This window comes from Homo sapiens, chromosome 5 (genome assembly GCF_000001405.40).
Source record: "Homo sapiens chromosome 5, GRCh38.p14 Primary Assembly".
Taxonomy (NCBI): domain Eukaryota; kingdom Metazoa; phylum Chordata; class Mammalia; order Primates; family Hominidae; genus Homo; species Homo sapiens.
Window position 1 is genome coordinate 152,537,679 of NC_000005.10, and position 19,369 is coordinate 152,557,047.

Consider the following 19,369-nt stretch of genomic DNA (forward strand, 5'->3'; position numbering starts at 1 on the left):
ACACTCTCTATTCTATTCTGTCTAGACTAATAGCATTCTTCAAGTGGGAGAGAGCTAATAAAGATAGCTGTAACCGACCTGTATGGTGACTGGAATAATATTCAACAGGGTAACCAGCCTGAAGGTATCAGGTGAGTCAATCAATATATAAAACTTAACTGAGTTGTTGTCACCCTGAATAGTAGAATTGAGTTCATGTAATCCTAAGTAAAATGGTTAAACCCATTGGGACTTATAATTGCAAAAGATCTCTCAATTTTAAATAGGAAGGCTGCAGATTTTTTTTTTTGCCTCGTAATAACTCATATTTTTATAGTACTTCTCAATTTCCAAAGCACGTTTGTGTGCATTGTTTCAATGGAGCATTATGACAGCTAATAAGTCTCTGTGTGGTATAGCTAAGGACCCCAAAGCCCAGAAAGGTCAAATGATTAGCATAAGGATGCACAGCCAATACTTGGAAGAAGCAAGATTGCTATTAGAGATCTTAAGTCAACATAACTTAGCTTTTCCCAGAATGAAACAGTGTCTCTCCCTGAGAGTGAAAGTTATCAGTTACCATCCAGCCCGTTCACTTGTATTAGATGGAGACAAAGTCTCCCTGAAAGGATCAGTAGAAGTATAGTTGTTGACAGACACAGGATTCACAGCTTAAAGTTTCTCTTTCCAAATAAGCCACTTAATTGTTCTTTATTCTAAAATAATGGCCAAATGTGAATATTATTATTTCAGAATACTTAGAAGAGGTCACATGAGTTGAAAGATAAAACTGCAGGCCTTTATTAGTCATGGGTTGTTTAAGTCAGAGAAGATATGTACAGTATATTCAAGGTACTATTTTCCATTCCCATGACCATGACAGTCATAGATAGTCAATTGTGATATTCTTTCCCATTGGATCCAGATGAGCTTCATAGTTCTTTTCAATTTGGTGTTCTAGTCAGGCACTGCTAAGTGCTCAGAACTAGTCTATTTTCCATGTTGCTGTAGGCACAGACATGCTTAGAGGTTTGCCTGAGCCTTTTGATCTAAAACCATCCTTGAAACCCCATTTTCTTTTCTAGGTGATATTCAAAACAATTTTATTCTCTTTATTATGCCTGACACTTATTAACAAAATAGCCTGTGTTATTAAAATTCATGCAAAATTATGTAAACATTCCAAAGAACATGACATTTGCACAGAAGCTGACAGACTCGGTACTTTGTTTTTTCTACATCTTTGAGGATATTGTCGTTTCTGTTTGTAAGAAGACACAGTAGCCCTCCAGTAGTCATTCGTGAATTTCCCTCTTCAAAAGCATAATTGCTATGCACTTACTTCCTGTACTTCTAAGAATTAATTTTATTCTAGGGACCCAGTGAAGTCAATCATTTACTTTAGAGAAGAAAATTTTTCTACTTTATTGTTCATTGTTACTAGCTCAGAAACCAGTTATTTGTTTCATAAAGTGTAAGGCACTGCTTTAAATTGGAATCTCACTTCTACACCATAATTGAGTTCTTGGCACTCAATGTAACAAAGCAGTATAAGACTGTAAAGTTGTTTTAGAGCTAGGAATGAATCAATCACTCAAGGAAACTTTCTTGAAATAAATTTGCTTATATTCTCAACTTTATTTCCCTTTTACTGTCAACCCTCAGCCTCTCTTCATTCTGGTTTCCCTAGGGGGCAGGGGACTATAGAGGGCAAATGTATATGTTGGAAATGTTATTCTAAGTTATTCCATTACCTAAGTCTCATTCTTCCCTGCAAATGAGACCACTGATGTGATGGAAAAGATAATTAAATTTTAAGTTAGAAGACATTGTTGTATTTGAATCTTGGCCTGCCACTTTTTTCCTAGGTAAATTTAGTTATTACTCAAGACTTACTGGTTTTCAAGTAACAGAAACCCAAATCACACTGGCTTTAGCAAAAAGAGGGGGTTTAGTTCATATATCTAAGACTGATTCTGGCTGGCTCCAGGTATAGCTGGATCAGCATCCCAAGAACTATTACAAGAAACTTATTTCACCATCTCTTTAGCTCTTCTTTCCTCTCCTTTGGTGTTAATCTCAGATCCTACATGGGAGCACCCAATGAATTTAGGATTTCTCTCTCTGTCTCTTTATAGTTCAACAAGCCTCCAAGGAAGGAGACATTTCCTTTCTTTAATAAGACCTCCAAAGACCTTAGTACTGCACGTTGGCTTGACTTGTCTCCTGTGACCATTCCCAAACCAATCACTACAGCCACTGAGGATGAAATAGCCGAGTTTTCTTGCTTCTTGTCAGGAAAGAGATCACTCAGTAATCACCTCTATAGTTATTATGGCTGTTTGTGGCTGATGTATTATATGCTGTTCCAGGGCTATATGCTGTGTATTTCTGTTCCTTGGCTACCTGCTTATCCTTAGAGTTAAGAATGGGGGTGATCTCTCCTGAACATAATGATTTAGAATTGGGTTGATTCTCCATAGGAAAATTACACTAGGAGAAAATAGAATGAATATCTTTTTTTTTTTTTTTTCCAAGGAAATGATATCACCACTTTGGGTCGTGTTTTTTCATATGTAAAACAGAAAATATGAATCAGTTGTTCTTATGAGTTGCTAATACATTCTAATTTTCTGTGAAAAGAAATAGTGCTCTGTAGGCTTTTCATTACGTATGTTAAATTTGCATAAGTAGATGTATATAAGCACATGTATGTACATACATGTGTCTGTGTGTGATTGTGTATACATTGCTATGTTTGCACATAATCAAACAGACACACAGAACTTACTAGAGGCCCACTGACAAATAGTATTGGGGTCAGTTCTAAATTTCCTAGGCGAGAGCTTTTTAAATATATATATATATATGATTATACTCATATATTCATGCGTTACCCTTGGAATGTTAACACTTTAAGAGGATTTTAAAATTTATGTCAGTCTCCTTAGAAATGAAAAGCTTTAACTCAAAGACATGTGTGTCAAATGCTGGAATTTGGAGTACCATTACCAGAAATGTGCAGGTGGGTCATAACCTTGAGGAGAAGGGACATCAGAGAAAACACAGGGTCTACACCATTATTTGGTAAGACAGTATTTACTTTATAAAGCATCTGCCATTGATGGCTTTTCTACCTTTCTCATCATGGTCTTACATTTATGGGTATCATGCTAATAGCCTATTAATCACATTATTAATATTTTTATTCTCACCTGTTATCTAATCAAACGATAAAAAATACATCAGTTTTCCAGAAAGTGGCCTTTCCTACCTCCCTAGCTACTGCCTTAGCATGATGTGTCAATAGGGGTAAAAATTTAGGGCAGCTTTTGATATTTTGTAGATCATGTTATATTAAATCCCTATGTATTCATATATGGTTTGTTATTTTCCCTTCATAGGTCCTAGGGCCCAGAAATTCTTTCTCCTCTCCATTTCTGACAAAGGCTTCATGCAGAAATTATTAGGCAAATATGTAAAATCCAAACCCTGGGCCAAACACGAGTCTCTCTATCTCACTTAGTTGAAAATCATTTATTGAATACCTATTCTGTGTAAGTCTGGATATATAAAGATGATTTGCTCTCTTATGGAGATAAGGCCTGGATATAAATCAGTACAATACAAGATAGACAGTAATGTGTGTCACAGGAGAGGAATAGATAAATTGCTATGGGAGGTGAGAGGATAAAGAAGTCACTTTGTTGTAGAGGGGCTGAGGAGTGCTGTATGTTGGCATCATTTGATGCAAGTAAATGACTGACTTCAAATGTGTGTAGGCTAAAGTCAAAAGTATGTTTGCATTTACTTCTGGGGGTAAGGGAGGGTTTTATGAAGGAGAAGGGGTTTAAGCTGAGCCTTGAGATGAGTAAGATTCAGTGTTAAGACAACTCCAAGAAATTCTGTAAGGATCCAAATTACCTTGGCAGAGGAATCACTTTAACCCATTTGTGGCTATTAGATGCTTAGCTTAGGAGTGGCAGTATTTGTCAGAATTGAGAGTAGGTACCCACAAATTGATGGGAGTAGAAAGAGGAGAGGCTGAGCACAGGCCGTGCCCCGAAGAGGCAGCTGATTCTGGGGAGTGGGGAAATGACCTTGAAAGTGGGAGAATTCCCTTGTCTGCTTTCAAGTAGGTGTCAGGTAGTTTACACAAGACCATTGAGAGATTTATACATTTTAAAAAGTGAGAATTGACAAATAAGATTTGGAAGAAGCAATATGAAGGACAATGATATGGATGAAATATTTGAAAAATGGATGCAACCTTCTTTAGAAATAAAGTTGTCATTTCATTTTTATATGTGAAAGTAATTATATGAAAAGGGACAAGATGGTTTGTATCTCCTTACCATAGATAGGCTTTGTTCTCAGTGTTGGAAATACAACAGTGAGCAAGCAAAAGTCCCTGCTCCCAGGGAGCTTATAGTCTAATGTGGGGAGAGAATCAGTCAACAACCAAGAGTCACATTTGTAATGTCTGTGACAACCCTGCCTCAGTCCTGGGGCTTGAATCCTCCCAAATGACCTACCCCAACCATTCATTTTAATTATTGGTCTTAATCATTTCCCCCACTAGTAGTCATTCAGTTTTTCTTTTATTATTTTTTATTCACTCATTGATACATTTATTTAACAAACATTTGAGCACGTAATATATTCCAGGCTTTATCACCTGTGCTGGAGGAACTTATATTCTAGATCAGCATTATCCAATAGAACTTTTTACAATGATGAAAATGTGCCGTATCTGTTTTGTTAAATATGTACCTGCATGCGACTTGTGGCTATTGAGCACTTGAAGTGTGGCTGGTGTGACTGAGGAACTGAAAATTTAATTTTGTGTAATTTTAATTAATTAAAATGTAAATAGACACATGTAGCTAGTGGCTACTGAATTGCATAGCATAGATTTAGAAGGAGTGGTAGACAATTAATTAGTGTCCTTTTAAAGAAATAGGGATTGTCTTAGGTGCTGTGAAATAAATGAGGTCCTTAGAGGAAAATGGGAAAGGGTGTACTTTATGGGGTGTTCAGGTACAACCTGTCACCCCATTTGAGATCTGAGAGGTGAGAAAAAAACAGCAATAGAAAGAATATTGGGGAACAAAAGGAAGAAGTCCCCAATAAAGGAACTGGGTTGGTATGCTTGAAGAACTGACAGAAAGTGGAGCTTGCTAAGTGAATTGTATTGTGTAGGAAAGAAAGTTGAAGGAGCAGCAATAGCCACATCATGCAAAACTCAGGCTGTGTGTGGGCCAGTACCATGGAGAGCACCATGTTATCTCCCGAGGCATGCACCAATCCCTGTTTTGCATTACAGGAGTCACTTCCTAATGAATCTTTCTTCGTAGAGCCTAAGTGCTGGAGCACCTCACAGCATCTATCATCACGTTTGATCATTTGTCAACTGTATTATGTAATTTGATTTGAAAATATCAGTGCCTACCATGGAACAAAAAGTTAAGTTAGGCAAGGTTCTTGCTTATAAGCAGTTTAATAAACTTAATATAAATTAAATATTGGCCAGAGCAAATAGGCAAGAGAAAGAAAGGGCATTCAAATTGGAAAAGAATTTGTCAAATTAGGCTTGTTTGCAGAGGACATGATCTCATACCTAGAACAATCTAAGGACTCTACAAAAGAACTCTTAGAACTGACAAACAAATTCAGTACAGTTTAGGACACAAAATCCACATTTAGACGTCTATAGCATTTATTTATACCAACACAGTCTGAAGAAGATATCAAGAAAAAAATTCCAGTTACAATAGCTATAAAACCCAGAAAATACTGGGTGTCAATCTAATCAAAGAAGTGAAAGATCTACACGTGGACAACTATAGAGCTCTGATGAAAGAAATTGAAGAAGACACAAATAAGCTATTCCATGCTCACAGATTAGAAGAATTAATATTGTTAAAATGACAACACTACCCAAAGCAATGTACAGATTCAATGCAATCGCTATCAAAATACCAATAACATTCTTCAAAGAAATAGAAAAAAAACCTATAATTTATATCGAACCACAAAAGATTCCTAATAGGTAAAACAATCATGAGCAAAAAGAACAAAGCTGGAGGAATCACTCTACCTGATTTCAAATTTTTCTACAAAGCTATAGTAACCAAAACAGCATGGTACTGGCATAAAAACAGATACATGGACAATAGAATAGAATAAAGAGCCCAGATATAAATCCATGCATTTACAGCCAACTCATCTTTGAAGGCACCAAGAGCATAGCACAGGGAAAGGATGGTTTGAAATAAATGGTGCTGGGAAAACTGAATAACTATTTGCAGAAGAATGAAACTAGACCCCTATTTCTCACCACACACAAAAATCAAAATGAATTAAAGACTTAAGTCTAAGACCTGAAGCTACTAGAAGAAAACATTCAGGAAATGGTCCAGGACATTGGTGTAGGCAAAGACTTTTTTTTGTGCAAGACATCAAAAGCACAGGCAACCGAAACAAAAATAGGCAAATGGGATTACATCAAGCTACAAAGCTTCTGATCAGCAAAGAAAACAATAAACAAAGTGAAGAAACAACCCGCAGAATGAGAGAAAATATTTGCAAAGTATGCATCTGACAAGGGATTAATAACCAGAATATATACGGAGCTCAAATAACTCAATAGCAAAAACAAAACAAAACAAAACAAAAAAACCAAGAAAACCAATTAAAATGTACAAAATGTCTGAATAGACAATTCTCAAAAGACAAATGGCCAATAGGTATACAAAAAAATGCTCAACATCACTAATCATCAGAGAAATAAAAAAAAGCACAATGAGATATCATCTTACCCAAGTTAAAATAGCTTGTATATAAAAAATAGCAATAGCAGATGCTATCAAGGATGTGGAGATGGGGAAACCTGTACAGTGTTAGTGGGAATGTGAGTTAGTACAGCCACTATGGAGGGTCCTCAAAAAACTAAAAATAGACCTACCATACGATCCAGTACTTCCACTACTAGGTATATAACTAAAATAAAGGAAATCAACACATTGAAGAGATATCTACACTCTCATGTTTATTGTAGTTTTATTCACAATAACCAAGAAATGGAACCAACCTAAATGTTGAATCAGTGGATGAATGTATAAAGAAAATGTGTAATGTGTAGACAATGGAATATTGTCATAAAAAGAACTAAATCCTGCCATGTGCAGCAACATAGATAGAACTGGAGGTTATCACGTTAAGTGAAATAAGCCAAGCACAGAAAGACACATTGTACATGTTCTCACTCATATGTAGGAGTTTAAAAAGTGGACCTCATGAAGATAGAGAGTAGATTGGTGGTTCCCAGAGGCCAGGAAGGGTTGAGAAGAAGGGATATGAAGGGGAAAAGAATATAAATATAATTATTATCACCTAACTGTACACTTACAAATGGTAATGGGCTGAGCATGGTGGCTCACGCCTGTAATCTTAGTACCTTGAAAGGCCAAGGCGGGCAGATCACTTGAGGTCAGAAGTTCAAGATCAGCCTCACCAACAGAGCAAAGCCCTTTCTCTACTAAAAATACAAAACAATTAGCCGGGCATGGTGGCATGAGCCTGTAGTCCCAGCTACTTGGGAGGCTGAGGCAGAAGGATCACTTGAGGCAGAGGTTGCAGTGAGCCAAGATTCCACCACTGTACTCCAGCCTGGGTGACAGAGTGAGTCTTCCGTCTCAAAAAAAAAAAAAAAAAAAAGGTAATGATGGCAAGTATATATATATATATATATAAATGTTATATCCATAATCAATCGAAAATGATTAAAAGTAGGATTAAAAACTTTTTTTAAATTTCTTTTATGATATTGCTGGAAGGAAGCTAACTTATGAGGTCTGGAGACATTTACTTTTTGAAAGCTTTTGAAAGAAAATATGGGAAAGTAAAGAACTGAATAGGAAATGGACCTAAAATAACTTGACTATTTTTAAAGCTGTCAATCCTTGATTTGGAGTTTCTTCTCTAAATGTATAGACATTCAGACTCCACAGATTAGTGATATATGGTGTGAGATACAAGTGATTACGCAGATGAAATGCCCCTGGTTGGGGTGCTGGCAAATTGCTGTGTTTTTCAGCAGTAATTTTTGTCAGCTTCATTGATTTTAAAAATTGTCAAGAACTTGAATTTATAATACAGGTTTCTGTTTATATACTTTTTTGTTTTTTTGTCTATAGAGTCATGGTACATTAGTTTGGGTTCTAGAGCCAAGAGAATTACTTTTAAATGATTTTTTAAAAATGCAAAATGTCATGTGCTTTGTTCTACAGAAATGCAACTTTTCAGTTAACTAGCAATATGTATTACAGATATACTAATTAGTGATCTCTAATGACTAACACTGACTTGAATGACTGCTTAACCTTTTCATCTTGCCTAGTCCAGCACTAACTATGTATATTTACTCTCTTGGCAGGTTGTTTTCATAACTCTATGTGATATTAAATTGCTATCACCAGAGCATATATTTTGAACTAATCATAATACGATATAGTTCTACTAGACTTTAGACTTGACAAAATTCATTCATAAGCATGTTGTCATTTCATACTTATAACAGCCACATGAGAAAGTACGACATGTGGGACATTATCTGCCTCTTACTTACAGAGACCCTGGGACCACCTCTGTTTTGCCATCAGTTATTGGATAATGTGTGGATAGAACTTGAAGTCAGGGGATAGGCAATTCATTTTGATAGAATAAAGAGGGAGTACTTCCTCCTCTCCTCCTTCTTTACTACTCAATGTAATGTGATTATAAAACCAGAAACTAGGTTTAAGAGAATCTTTTGAATTCAGAGAGAAAAAAGTCTGTGTATCAATTAAGAATCTTTGTTTCACAAGTAACCAAAACTTAACTCATGGTGATCTAAAAATCAAAGGAATATATTGGCTTCTATAACTAAAAAGCCCAAAGACAGCACTGGATTCAAGGTTCAAATGATGAAATAATGAATCATCACTCATTTCCTCTGTCTTTGGATTGGTTCCGTTATCAAAAAAGACATCTCCTCTTTTAGTGACTCAACTCATACTTTTAAAAGAGCATTCTATATCTTAAAGAGTAAGTACTCTTTCCACACAGTGGAAAGAGTACAAGTGGAAAGAGTACAAGACTGGCAGTAAGGAAACCTGGTCTCTATTCTCAAGTCATCACTGGCTTTGTGAGTTCCCTCTGTCAGAGCGGTCAGAGAAGTGAGTTAGCTAGAATTACATCATTCCATATTGAAATCTAAAATGTGTGTGTGTGTGTGTGGCAGAGGGTGCACCTTGGTCCTCACAACTCCAGAAAAGGAGTTTTCTCCGTTTGGGATCACACATTTCACAGGGTCACCCAAGAAGCAACGTGGAGGCTTGAGCAATGGAGTGCCACCTGTGAGTCTACACCACCTGAACTATGGAATGAATGACAGGACAACTTGAAATAGGGGGCTATTCTTAGAAGTAGAGTAAATGAATTCTAGATGGTCCTGTATCCAAGAAGTAGTCAGTATGCAACATTACATTCACTGATCCTCTAAAAATCAAACCTCTAATCTCAATCTTTTTAGTGCCATGAGCTAATCGCCTTGGCTGACTGTTCACAGAACCAGAATTCATCTTTCTGCTTTTCTCTCATAAGGACTCCCCAGTCACAAGATGCCCAAAGGGGAACTGGGCTACTCCAGATGGCTTTGATCCATGCCAGTACTCTTCATTATGTAAACTTTCCTTCTGACAGCTCACGCGGAACATGTCACATCTTGAAAGAGGAGTTTTCATTAACTACTTTGCTTCTGCCAAATGGAATCAGTGCATTATGTGGCCCCCTGCCAGACGTCAGAGAGGGATGTTCCTTCTGTCTGCAGCACCCGCCTGGCTCCCACATTCAAGCTGGAGTCTCCTGTTTTTCCAAGATCAATACATGTTGCACCTTACATGGAGGAAGGTCTCTTGACCACTGGAACAGAGGAAGTTTCCATAGCCTCAGTAGAATAGAATCTAGGTTTTCTGACAAGAAGTGTTGTGCTCTTTCCACTGTGTAGTGCTTAATCTTTAAAACCCCAAATTTGCTCCACACACACACACACACACACACACACACACACTTACTTAGCCACCATCTCTGCTTCCCTCCCTTACCTCACTGACATATGTGGTCAGTCAGGATGTTCTATCTACTTTAACTCTTAAGTACTTCTAAATATCTTTACTTGAAAAAAAGTCTTCACTATCTAGGCCACCATCATTATTCTCCTGGCTATTATAAAGTACCTTAAGTGGATTCTCTGCTCACAGAAGACATAGAAAGTTGTCTAATGTAAAAATTGATCAGTTCCTTTCTTAAAACTTTTTGATGGCTCTTAAGACTTTTGTCTCAATGCTCAATCTAGTATAAAGTTTCCTCCACTGCTTTCTGGCCCACACCCTGGGCCCATTCTCCAATACAGCGAGCCACTTTCTGATTTCTTTGAAAGAGCCTGTTCTCCTTTTTTTCACCTGAAGATCTTTGCACATGACACTGCCCTTATTTGGAATGTTACACACCCTCCCATCATCACTACCTTCAATTTAATAATGTCTACTCATTCTTTTGCTCTCAGCTTAGAGGTCTCTCATTCTGTTAAATGTTCCCTCATTTCTCAATCTGGTTTCGGTGCCTCTGCTATTTGCCTCCATAGCCTCTTATACTGTTTTATCCCTGCTCACCGTGCTGTCTGTTTTATCAGCCTCTTTGTGTTCACACAACACACACACACACACACACACACACACACACACACACACACACACACCCCTCACTGTAAGGATTTCCTGAGTTTACTGCAGACCTGGAAGTTGTAGAGAAGGAATATGTGGCACAACAGGAAGCTTTTCCTCTCACAGATCCTGCTTCTTATCTCCCCTTCATGGCACTTTGGACCAAAATGAAGAGCCTTCTTCACAAAAACCCTAGCCTCCATCAAAGGCTATTGTATTTATCAATTGCCTGTTTTTTTTTTTCTTTGATAATCAGTTTTCCTTTAGTTTCCACATAAAGCATTTCTTCTGGTGAATGTGTAGCGCAAGTCTAATCCTCTTTTACCTAAAACCATTCTTTTTCTCCTCAATTTCTTCATTCAAACAGATGTATGATAATTATTCATAGAGTTCAAGTCCCAGGGGTAGTTCATGTTTAAATAGAAATGGACTCCTTAAAAAAAGATACTGAAGGCCGGGCGCGGTGGCTTACACCTGTAATCCCAGCACTTTGGGAGGCCAAGGCAGGCAGATCACGAGGTCAGGAGCCATCCTGGCTAACACAGCGAAACCCCGTCTCTACTAAAAATACAAAAAATTACCTGGGCGTGGTGGCGGGCACCTGTAGTCCCAGCTACTCGGGAGGCTGAGGCAGGAGAATGGCGTGAACCCAGGAGGCGAAGCTTGCAGTGAGCTGAGATCGCGCCACTGCACTCCAGCCTGGGCGACAGAGCGAGACTCCGTCTCAGAAAAAAAAACAAAAAAAACCTGAAATGGCCAGTCGCGGTGGCTCACTCTCACCTATAATCCTGGCACTTTGGGAGGTCGAGGCAGGCAGATAACGAGGTCAGGAAATCGAGATCATCCTGGCTAACACGGTGAAACCCTGTCTCTACTAAAAATACAAAAAATTAGCCGGGCGTGGTGGCGGGCGCCTGTAGTTTCAGCTACTCGGGAGGCTGAGGCAGGAGAATGGCGTGAACCCGGGAGGCAGAGCTTGCAGTGAGCCGAGATCACGCCACTGCACTCCAGACTGGCGAGAGAGCGAGACTGTCTCAAAAAAAAAAAAAAAAAAAAAGATACTAAAATTCTGGTGATAAAATTTCAGGAGACATCCTAAGAATGGCTAGGATGTTGTGGTGAACATCCTAGCCATTCTTAGAAAGTCTCTGGAAATTTTATTAAATCCCCTAGAATCTTGCCTTGTTAGCACCTAGTCAGGGTCCAAAAGCCTCAGGGTTAGAAAGAAATTTCAATGCCATATTTGTGATTCTGTGACTCATTCTTCTCCAAAGTTCTTTATAGATCTAAATATTTGTGTGTGTGTGTGTGTGTGTGTGCATGTTTGGTGCATGTTTGCGTGTGTACCACCCTGATTTAAGTCACTATTAGTTCTCCACTAGATCAAGTAAATAACCTGTTCCTTTTTCTTCTCTATTTGATTCTCAACATGTCATAGCTGGAATGATATATTTACAAAACTGGTCATTATGAGTGAAAGCCAAAGTGCTTTGGATGGCCCTGAGGGACTTTCCTCTATCACTATGCTGATCTCTCCTCTTATTCTTGCCCTCTCACCCATTTTACTCCAGCCACACTGTCCCCCTTGTGCCTCACACATGCGAGGCTTTCTCCCTCTTCATAACCTTCTCAGTGGCTATCCTTGGCCATGCATGCTCCACTCCCCCACCTCTTTTCCCATGATTGGTTCATTCCTTCTTCAAGTTTTTGCTTCAGTGCCACTTTCTACATGAGATCTTCCTTGACCACCCTACTTAAAATCACAACTTTCTCACAGCATTTCTGATTACCTATCTCTGGGCTGTTTTTTTTCCCCCATAGTTCTTGTCTAATCTACAATGAATTATCTGCTTATTCGGTTTATTATCTACCTCCTTTAGAAAGGGTGAAGTCTTGATGAAGGCGTGGTTGTCTGGCTGTGTCCTCACTGACATGTGTCTGTCAGCTAGAACAAGCGCTCAACAAATACTGGTTGAATAAATGATTATGCCTACTTTATACCTCTACTAATTTATTAGCTTTTTGAGAGTTTATAAAATTCTAGGCCAAACTGTAAACTTCCAGTTGGTTCTAGCCAAAGATAACAACTATTCTTATATTATCCAATTTATGTTTAAAATTGACATTCTGTTTCAAAAGCACATCTCACAAAGTTCTTAAGCTCATTTGTTATTTGCCACCTGCCACCCACCACCCATTCTCCCTACCTCATGGTATTCCTGGTTTCTAACATGACCTTCATTGGTTTCAATCAGTCTCATCTTCCCATCTTGCATCATAGCATGTTCAGGTCTGACTTTACATCTTTTCCTTAGATACGTTTTGAAAACGGACTCTCTCTCCCCTTTCCAACAGTTCCCCATTTATCTAGCAATACCAACTTTATAGAATACAGCCATAATTAGAAGGGTAAAAAAATTAGTTTTTTGACCATTATGAATAGATGCCAGAGTTTATTATTAAATCTGATGTATTTAGTTCATAGAAGTGACGAGTCACTATATACACAAACTTGCATGTTTAGAGCTCCTTTATTCTCATTATATGTGATTCCAAAATATTTCATACCAACCAAAAATCTAGTGGCTAAAATCAACAACAGCTAGTTATTTTCAATGAATCTGTGGGTTTACTGGACTCAGCTGGTTGGTTCTGCCTTACATGGTATAGGCTAAGGTCACTCAAGTGGCTGCATTTAACAGGGGGATCAGGGATGGGGCTGCAGTGTCCAAGACAGCCTTTCATCTTCTGAGGCCTGCCTCTTGTCCTGGGCCTCTCATTATTTAGTAGTTTGTTCTGAGGTGCTTTACAGCATGGAGGTTGGGTTTTTAGAGTGGAAGTGAAACTGTCAGACCTATTAAGGGCTAGGCCCAGAACCAGCATAGCATCACCTCTGAAGCATTCTTTTGGTCAAAGAAAGTCATAAGGCTGATCCAGATTCAAGTAGATCCACTTATTAATGGGAGGAATTGTTGGCAATTATATTTGCAGATGAACTACCATGACTTTTTCTTAGAACTTAGAAGATAAGGAGCAGCAATTCAGAATGTGGGGCTGAAGGCAGGGACACAAACATTCACAGAGACTTTGGCTAATCAAATAGTGTGTATCTGAATGAGTGTATATGTGCGTGGGTGACTGGTGGTCTTTAAACAAAATACATATAGATGTATAAAAGACTCAACATTTCCAGCAGTATTCATATCTTGTGGGATATATAACATGAAGGCAAAAAGCATGATGATCCCCAAGAGAATTAATGTATCATAGCCTATCATGTAATTGATATGCATATTAAAAAGGAGGTTTATCTAATTGCATGTATACCCAATTTAAATAGCTGAGAAAATGTTTTTTGTAGAAATTTTGCAGAACAAAAGGCTGCATTATTTTCTGAAGTTTTGGGATCCAAAGGATAAATTTTAATTATTTAAAAATAACTTATGGACAATGATCTATTTCCCATCCATATCAGAAAAGAGTCTTCCTTATAATTTCTTCAAAGTTGATTCTTTTTATGCATAAGTCTGCATACACAATAGGTGTTTGGTAAATGCTTGCTGATTAAAATCAGGCCATAGATGAAAACTAGAGAAATGTGATGTTATCTTTGTATCCAAAGGCAGATTTTCTTTCCCATAAAGGTTAATTTTAAAGCTTCTAAAAATATGAACAATAGACTTTTTTCTTTTCATAGCAGCGATAATGGTACCTGAGTGAATTAATTACCTTTTTGTTCCCATTAGCTAGTGGCAAGTACGCAGGGCCAACAGCACAGAGCAAAGGAAGTTATATTAGTCATGGTTTTCTTGCAGATCATGAAAAAGAAAATTGGGTTAATGAGAGGGCATGGGGATTGAATACCAGAGCCCATGGTGGAGTGCACTGAAGATAGAGGCTTAGACAATGAGTAATTGGATGGGGAGGAAAATGCATATTCTGAGAAATCAAGGGGTAATTGAGCAAATTTCAAAGAAATAGAGGTAAAACTAAAAAGGTTCTGCAGAAGGAAATGACCAAATTAAAAGGCCATCTATGGAATGCGAGAAAATACATACAAACATATCTGATAAAGGGTAAATATTCATTGAAAACATATAAGGAATATCTACTTAATATCCAAAAATCAAATAACCCATTTTAAAAATGGGCTAAAGAACTAAACAGACATTTCTCCAAAGAAATATACAAATGGACAACAGGCACTTGAAAATGTGCTCAATATCACTAATCATCAGGGAAATGCAAATCAAAACCACAGTGAGGTATCATCTCATACCTGTTGGGATGGCTGTTATATTAAAAAAAAGTGCAGGTGAGGATGTGTAGAAAAAGAACCCTGTACATTGTTGGTGGGAATGCAAATTGGTGCAGCCACTATGAAAAATAGTGTGGAGGTAAAAAATTAAAAGTAGAACCAACAATTATATGATCTAGCAATCCTTTGGGTATATATTCAAAGAAATTGAAATCAGAATCTTGAAGTGAGATCTGCACTCACGTGTTCATAGCAGCATTATTCAAATTAACCAAGACCACGAAGTAACCTAAATGGCCAGAGGCAGATGAATAAAGAAAATCTGGTATATACATACAGTGGAATATTATTCAGTCTTAAAGGAAAAGATCTTGCCATTTATGGCAGCATGAATGGACCTGGAGTACATAATGCTAAAGTGAAATAAGCCAGACACAGGGAAAATACTGCACAATATCATTTATGTGAAGAATCTAAAATAGCCAAACTCATAGAAGCAGAGAGTAGAATGGTGGTTGCTAAGGGCTGAAAGTATGAGTAAAATCAGGAGATATTAGTCAAAGGGCATAAAATTTGTTATGCAAAATTAATAAGCCCTTGAGATCTATATAGTGTGGTGCCTATAGTTGACAATATTGTATAACTTAAAAATCTGAGAGGTAGGCCGGGCGCGGTGGCTCACGCCTGTAATCCCAGCACTTTGGGAGGCCGAGGCGGGTGGATCATGAGGTCAGGAGATCGAGACCATCCTGGCTAACAAGGTGAAACCCCGTCTCTACTAAAAATACAAAAAAAAATTAGCCGGGCGCGGTAGCGGGCGCCTGTAGTCCCAGCTACTCGGGAGGCTGAGGCAGGAGAATGGCGTGAACCCGGGAAGCGGAGCTTGCAGTGAGCCGAGATTGCGCCACTGCAGTCCGCAGTCCCGCCTGGGCGACAGAGCGAGACTCCGTCTCAAAAAAAAAAAAAAAAAAAAAAAAAAATCTGAGAGGTAGATCTTATGTTAAGTGTTCTTGTCACTCACAAAAATAGGATAGAAGGAAGCTCTTGGAGGTAATGGATAAGTGTATGGCATAGATTGTAGGGATGGTTTCACAGGTGTATACTTATCCCTAAACTCATCAAGTTGTTAACATTAAATATATACAGCTTTTTTATGTCAATTATACTTCAATAAAGTGGTTTAAAATAAAAGAAGGTAACTTCTCCCAAGAAGGTAGTCTTTACTTTAGAGAATGTGACTTAGCCCTTGATGGTTGCCCTCTTCAACCATTAAGGAATGCCAAGTATTTAAACTAATACCTATGTCTATAGAATATGCATTCTTTCAGAATGAGCTTAAGAGTCTCTAACTCCCACCTCATTCAATGTTCATGATACTTGGATCTCCAGCTTCTGTGTGGACACGTCTGATGATAGGGAGCTCACTTGCATTACTGGGTTTTGGTTCATTAAGAATACGGTTTCTGGCTGGGCGCGGTGTCTCATGCCTGTAATCCCAGCACTTTGGGAGGCTGAGGCAGGATGACCACCTCTGGTCAGGAGTTCTAAACCACCCTGGCCAACATGGTGAAATCCTATCTCTACTAAAGATACAAAAATTAGCTGGGCGTGGTGGCAAGCGCCTGTACTCCCAGCTACTTGGGAGGCTGAGGCATGAGAATAGCTTGAACCTAGCAGGCGGAGGTTGCAGTGAGCCAAGATCGTGCCATTGCACTCCAGCCTGGGCCACAGAGCAAGACTCTGTCTCAAAAAAAAAAAAATAGTTTCTGATCCCTGTCTACAAAAAAATTGAAAAATTATGGATGCTGGTGAGGCTGTGGAGAAAAGGGACTGCTTATGCACTGTTGGTGAGAATACAAATTAGCTACTATGTAAAGCAGTTGTGAGATTTCTCAAAGAACTTAGAACTACCAGCCTAGTGCAGTGCCTCATGCCTGTAATCCCAGTACTTTGGGAGGCGCAGGTGGGTGGATCACTTGAGGTCAGGAGTTCAAGACCAGCCAGGCTGTGGTGAAACCCCATCTCTACTCAAAATACAAAAATTATCTGGGCATGGTGGCACGTGCCTGTAATCCCAGCTATTTGAGAGGCTGAGGCAGGAGAATTGCTTGAACCTGGGAGGTGGAGGTTGCAGAGAGCCGAGATCATGCCATTGCACTCCAGCCTAGGTGACAGAATGAGACTCCGTCTCAAAAAAAAAAAAAAAAAAATACCACCAACAAAAAAAACAGAACTACCATTCAACTCAGCAATTCCATTACTGAGCATATACCCAAAGAAAAATAAATCATTCTACCAAAATGACACGTGCAGTTGTATGTTCATCGTAGTGCTATTCACAATGACAAATACATGGAATCAACCTAGATGTCTGTCAACGGTAGACTGGATAAAATGTGGTACATATACACCATGGAATACTACAAACCCATGAAAAATGAAATTATGTCCTTTGCAGCAGCATGGAAGTAGCTGAAAGTTATTATCCTAAGTGAGTTAACAGAGGAACAGAAAACCAGATAACTGCATATTCTCTGTAGTTTAAGTGGGAGCTAAACAACAGGTATTCATGGACATAAAGATGGAGACAGTAGATACCAAGGACTACTAGAGAGGGGAGGGGCAGAAGGGGCCATGGGTTGGAAAAACTACCTATTGAATACTATGCTCACTACCTAGGAGATGGGATCCATATCCCTAACCTCAGCATTCACAATATACTCATGTAACAAACCGGCGTATGTACACCCTGAATCTAAAACGTTGAAATTGTTTAAAAAGCCAGGCATGGTGGCATGCACCTGTAATCTCAGCTACTCAGGAGGCTGTGGTGGGAGGATCACTTGAACCGGGTGTTGGAGTCTGCAGTGAGTTATGATCGTGCTGCTGCACTCCAGCCTGGGTGACAGAGTGAGATCCTGTATCTAAAACAAAAAAGAATACAGCTTCTGAAACCAGAAAGATTTACCTAAATCCTGGATTCATAATTGGCCAAGTGCTTTCCCTTGAGTCCATGACATCCTCTCTAAACCTCGGGCTTCACAGTAGTGAGTTGCGGGATAGGGAGGAAGGATAGGTAGTATTTATATCATAAGGGGATTAAATAAAGTAGTGCAAGTAAAGTACTTAGAGTATCTGGCCCATATTTGTTCCTCTGTAAAAGTTATTTTTCATTTCTGTTCCACAAATATTCAACACTATCGTTCCAATGAAATAGCATACTCAAAAGTATTTTGCATCCTTTCTTAGATGCTTGCAATAATAGTTCTCTGTAGGAATTACCATTGTTTTTAGTTTTCTGATAAGATGACGAAGACTCAAGCTCTGTGTTTCTTCTCTTGCTGTTTCTTTTTCAGGAAAAAAACATGAAATTTTCTGTTGGCAACAAGTCTTGCTAGTCAGAGCTGGCCTGGGACAAGATAGTGCATGAATCACCCTTTGTTTTTGTCCTCTTACCCCTATTCATGGCACCTCCACTCCTAGATGTCAAGGAATTGCATGCTATTTCCAGAATCTTCACTTGCTGAAGGGAAGACTCTGACAGCAGTCATCTGTACCTTGGGAAGATGGCCTTTGAGTTCTCTCAAGGGTTTTAAACTTAGACTCTGAGGGCATTAGGACTTTTCCCACCAAAATGAATTCCTGGCATCAGGGAGCCAGGTACAAGGGGAGTCTAGAATCATTAAAGTTCATGATGTGTTGACAAGCTATTATTTCCTACCTACACAGGTAGGCATCCCTTTTTCTAAGTATCTCAAGGCCAGGGGAAAATTCAGATCATTCCGTAGCTACAATTTTATTAGGGAAAGAGCCTGAAATACTTAGACATGAATAGATTTTCATGGAATGTGGGAAGGTCATAGAATCGAGGACTGGAAAAGGATTACTGTAGTCTAATCTTAGGACAGAAATTTATTCTGAGGTCCAGAGGCAAAATACACTGTGCTTAAAGTCAGACAGAGTCAATGTCAATCTGTGTTAGAGTCCAGAACCCCCTAGCCCAGGAGCTGGGGATTCCACATCTGCAATTTAACATCATTGATTACAAAACCCTAACTTCCCTTTGGAATGGTTTAAAATTACTGGGACTGAGAATAATATGCTTGTCTCTTCTTTTAAAAAAGACTTCCTAAAGCTTTAGTCTCATTCCCTCCATAGGTGACCCTGCATGAATACAAAAGTCTAGTGTTTTTGTTTTATAAAGAACACTGAAAGTTAGGGAGCCCCTAGCCCTGCTCGGCTCCAAATAGCTGCTTGGAGCTGGATACTGGCCAAGGACCTGTCACTCTCTGTTTGCATGCTGTTCGGGCCATCCTGCTTTCAGCACAAAAGCAAAAGGCCGTGGAAATGTGGATGCATTTGGAGATTC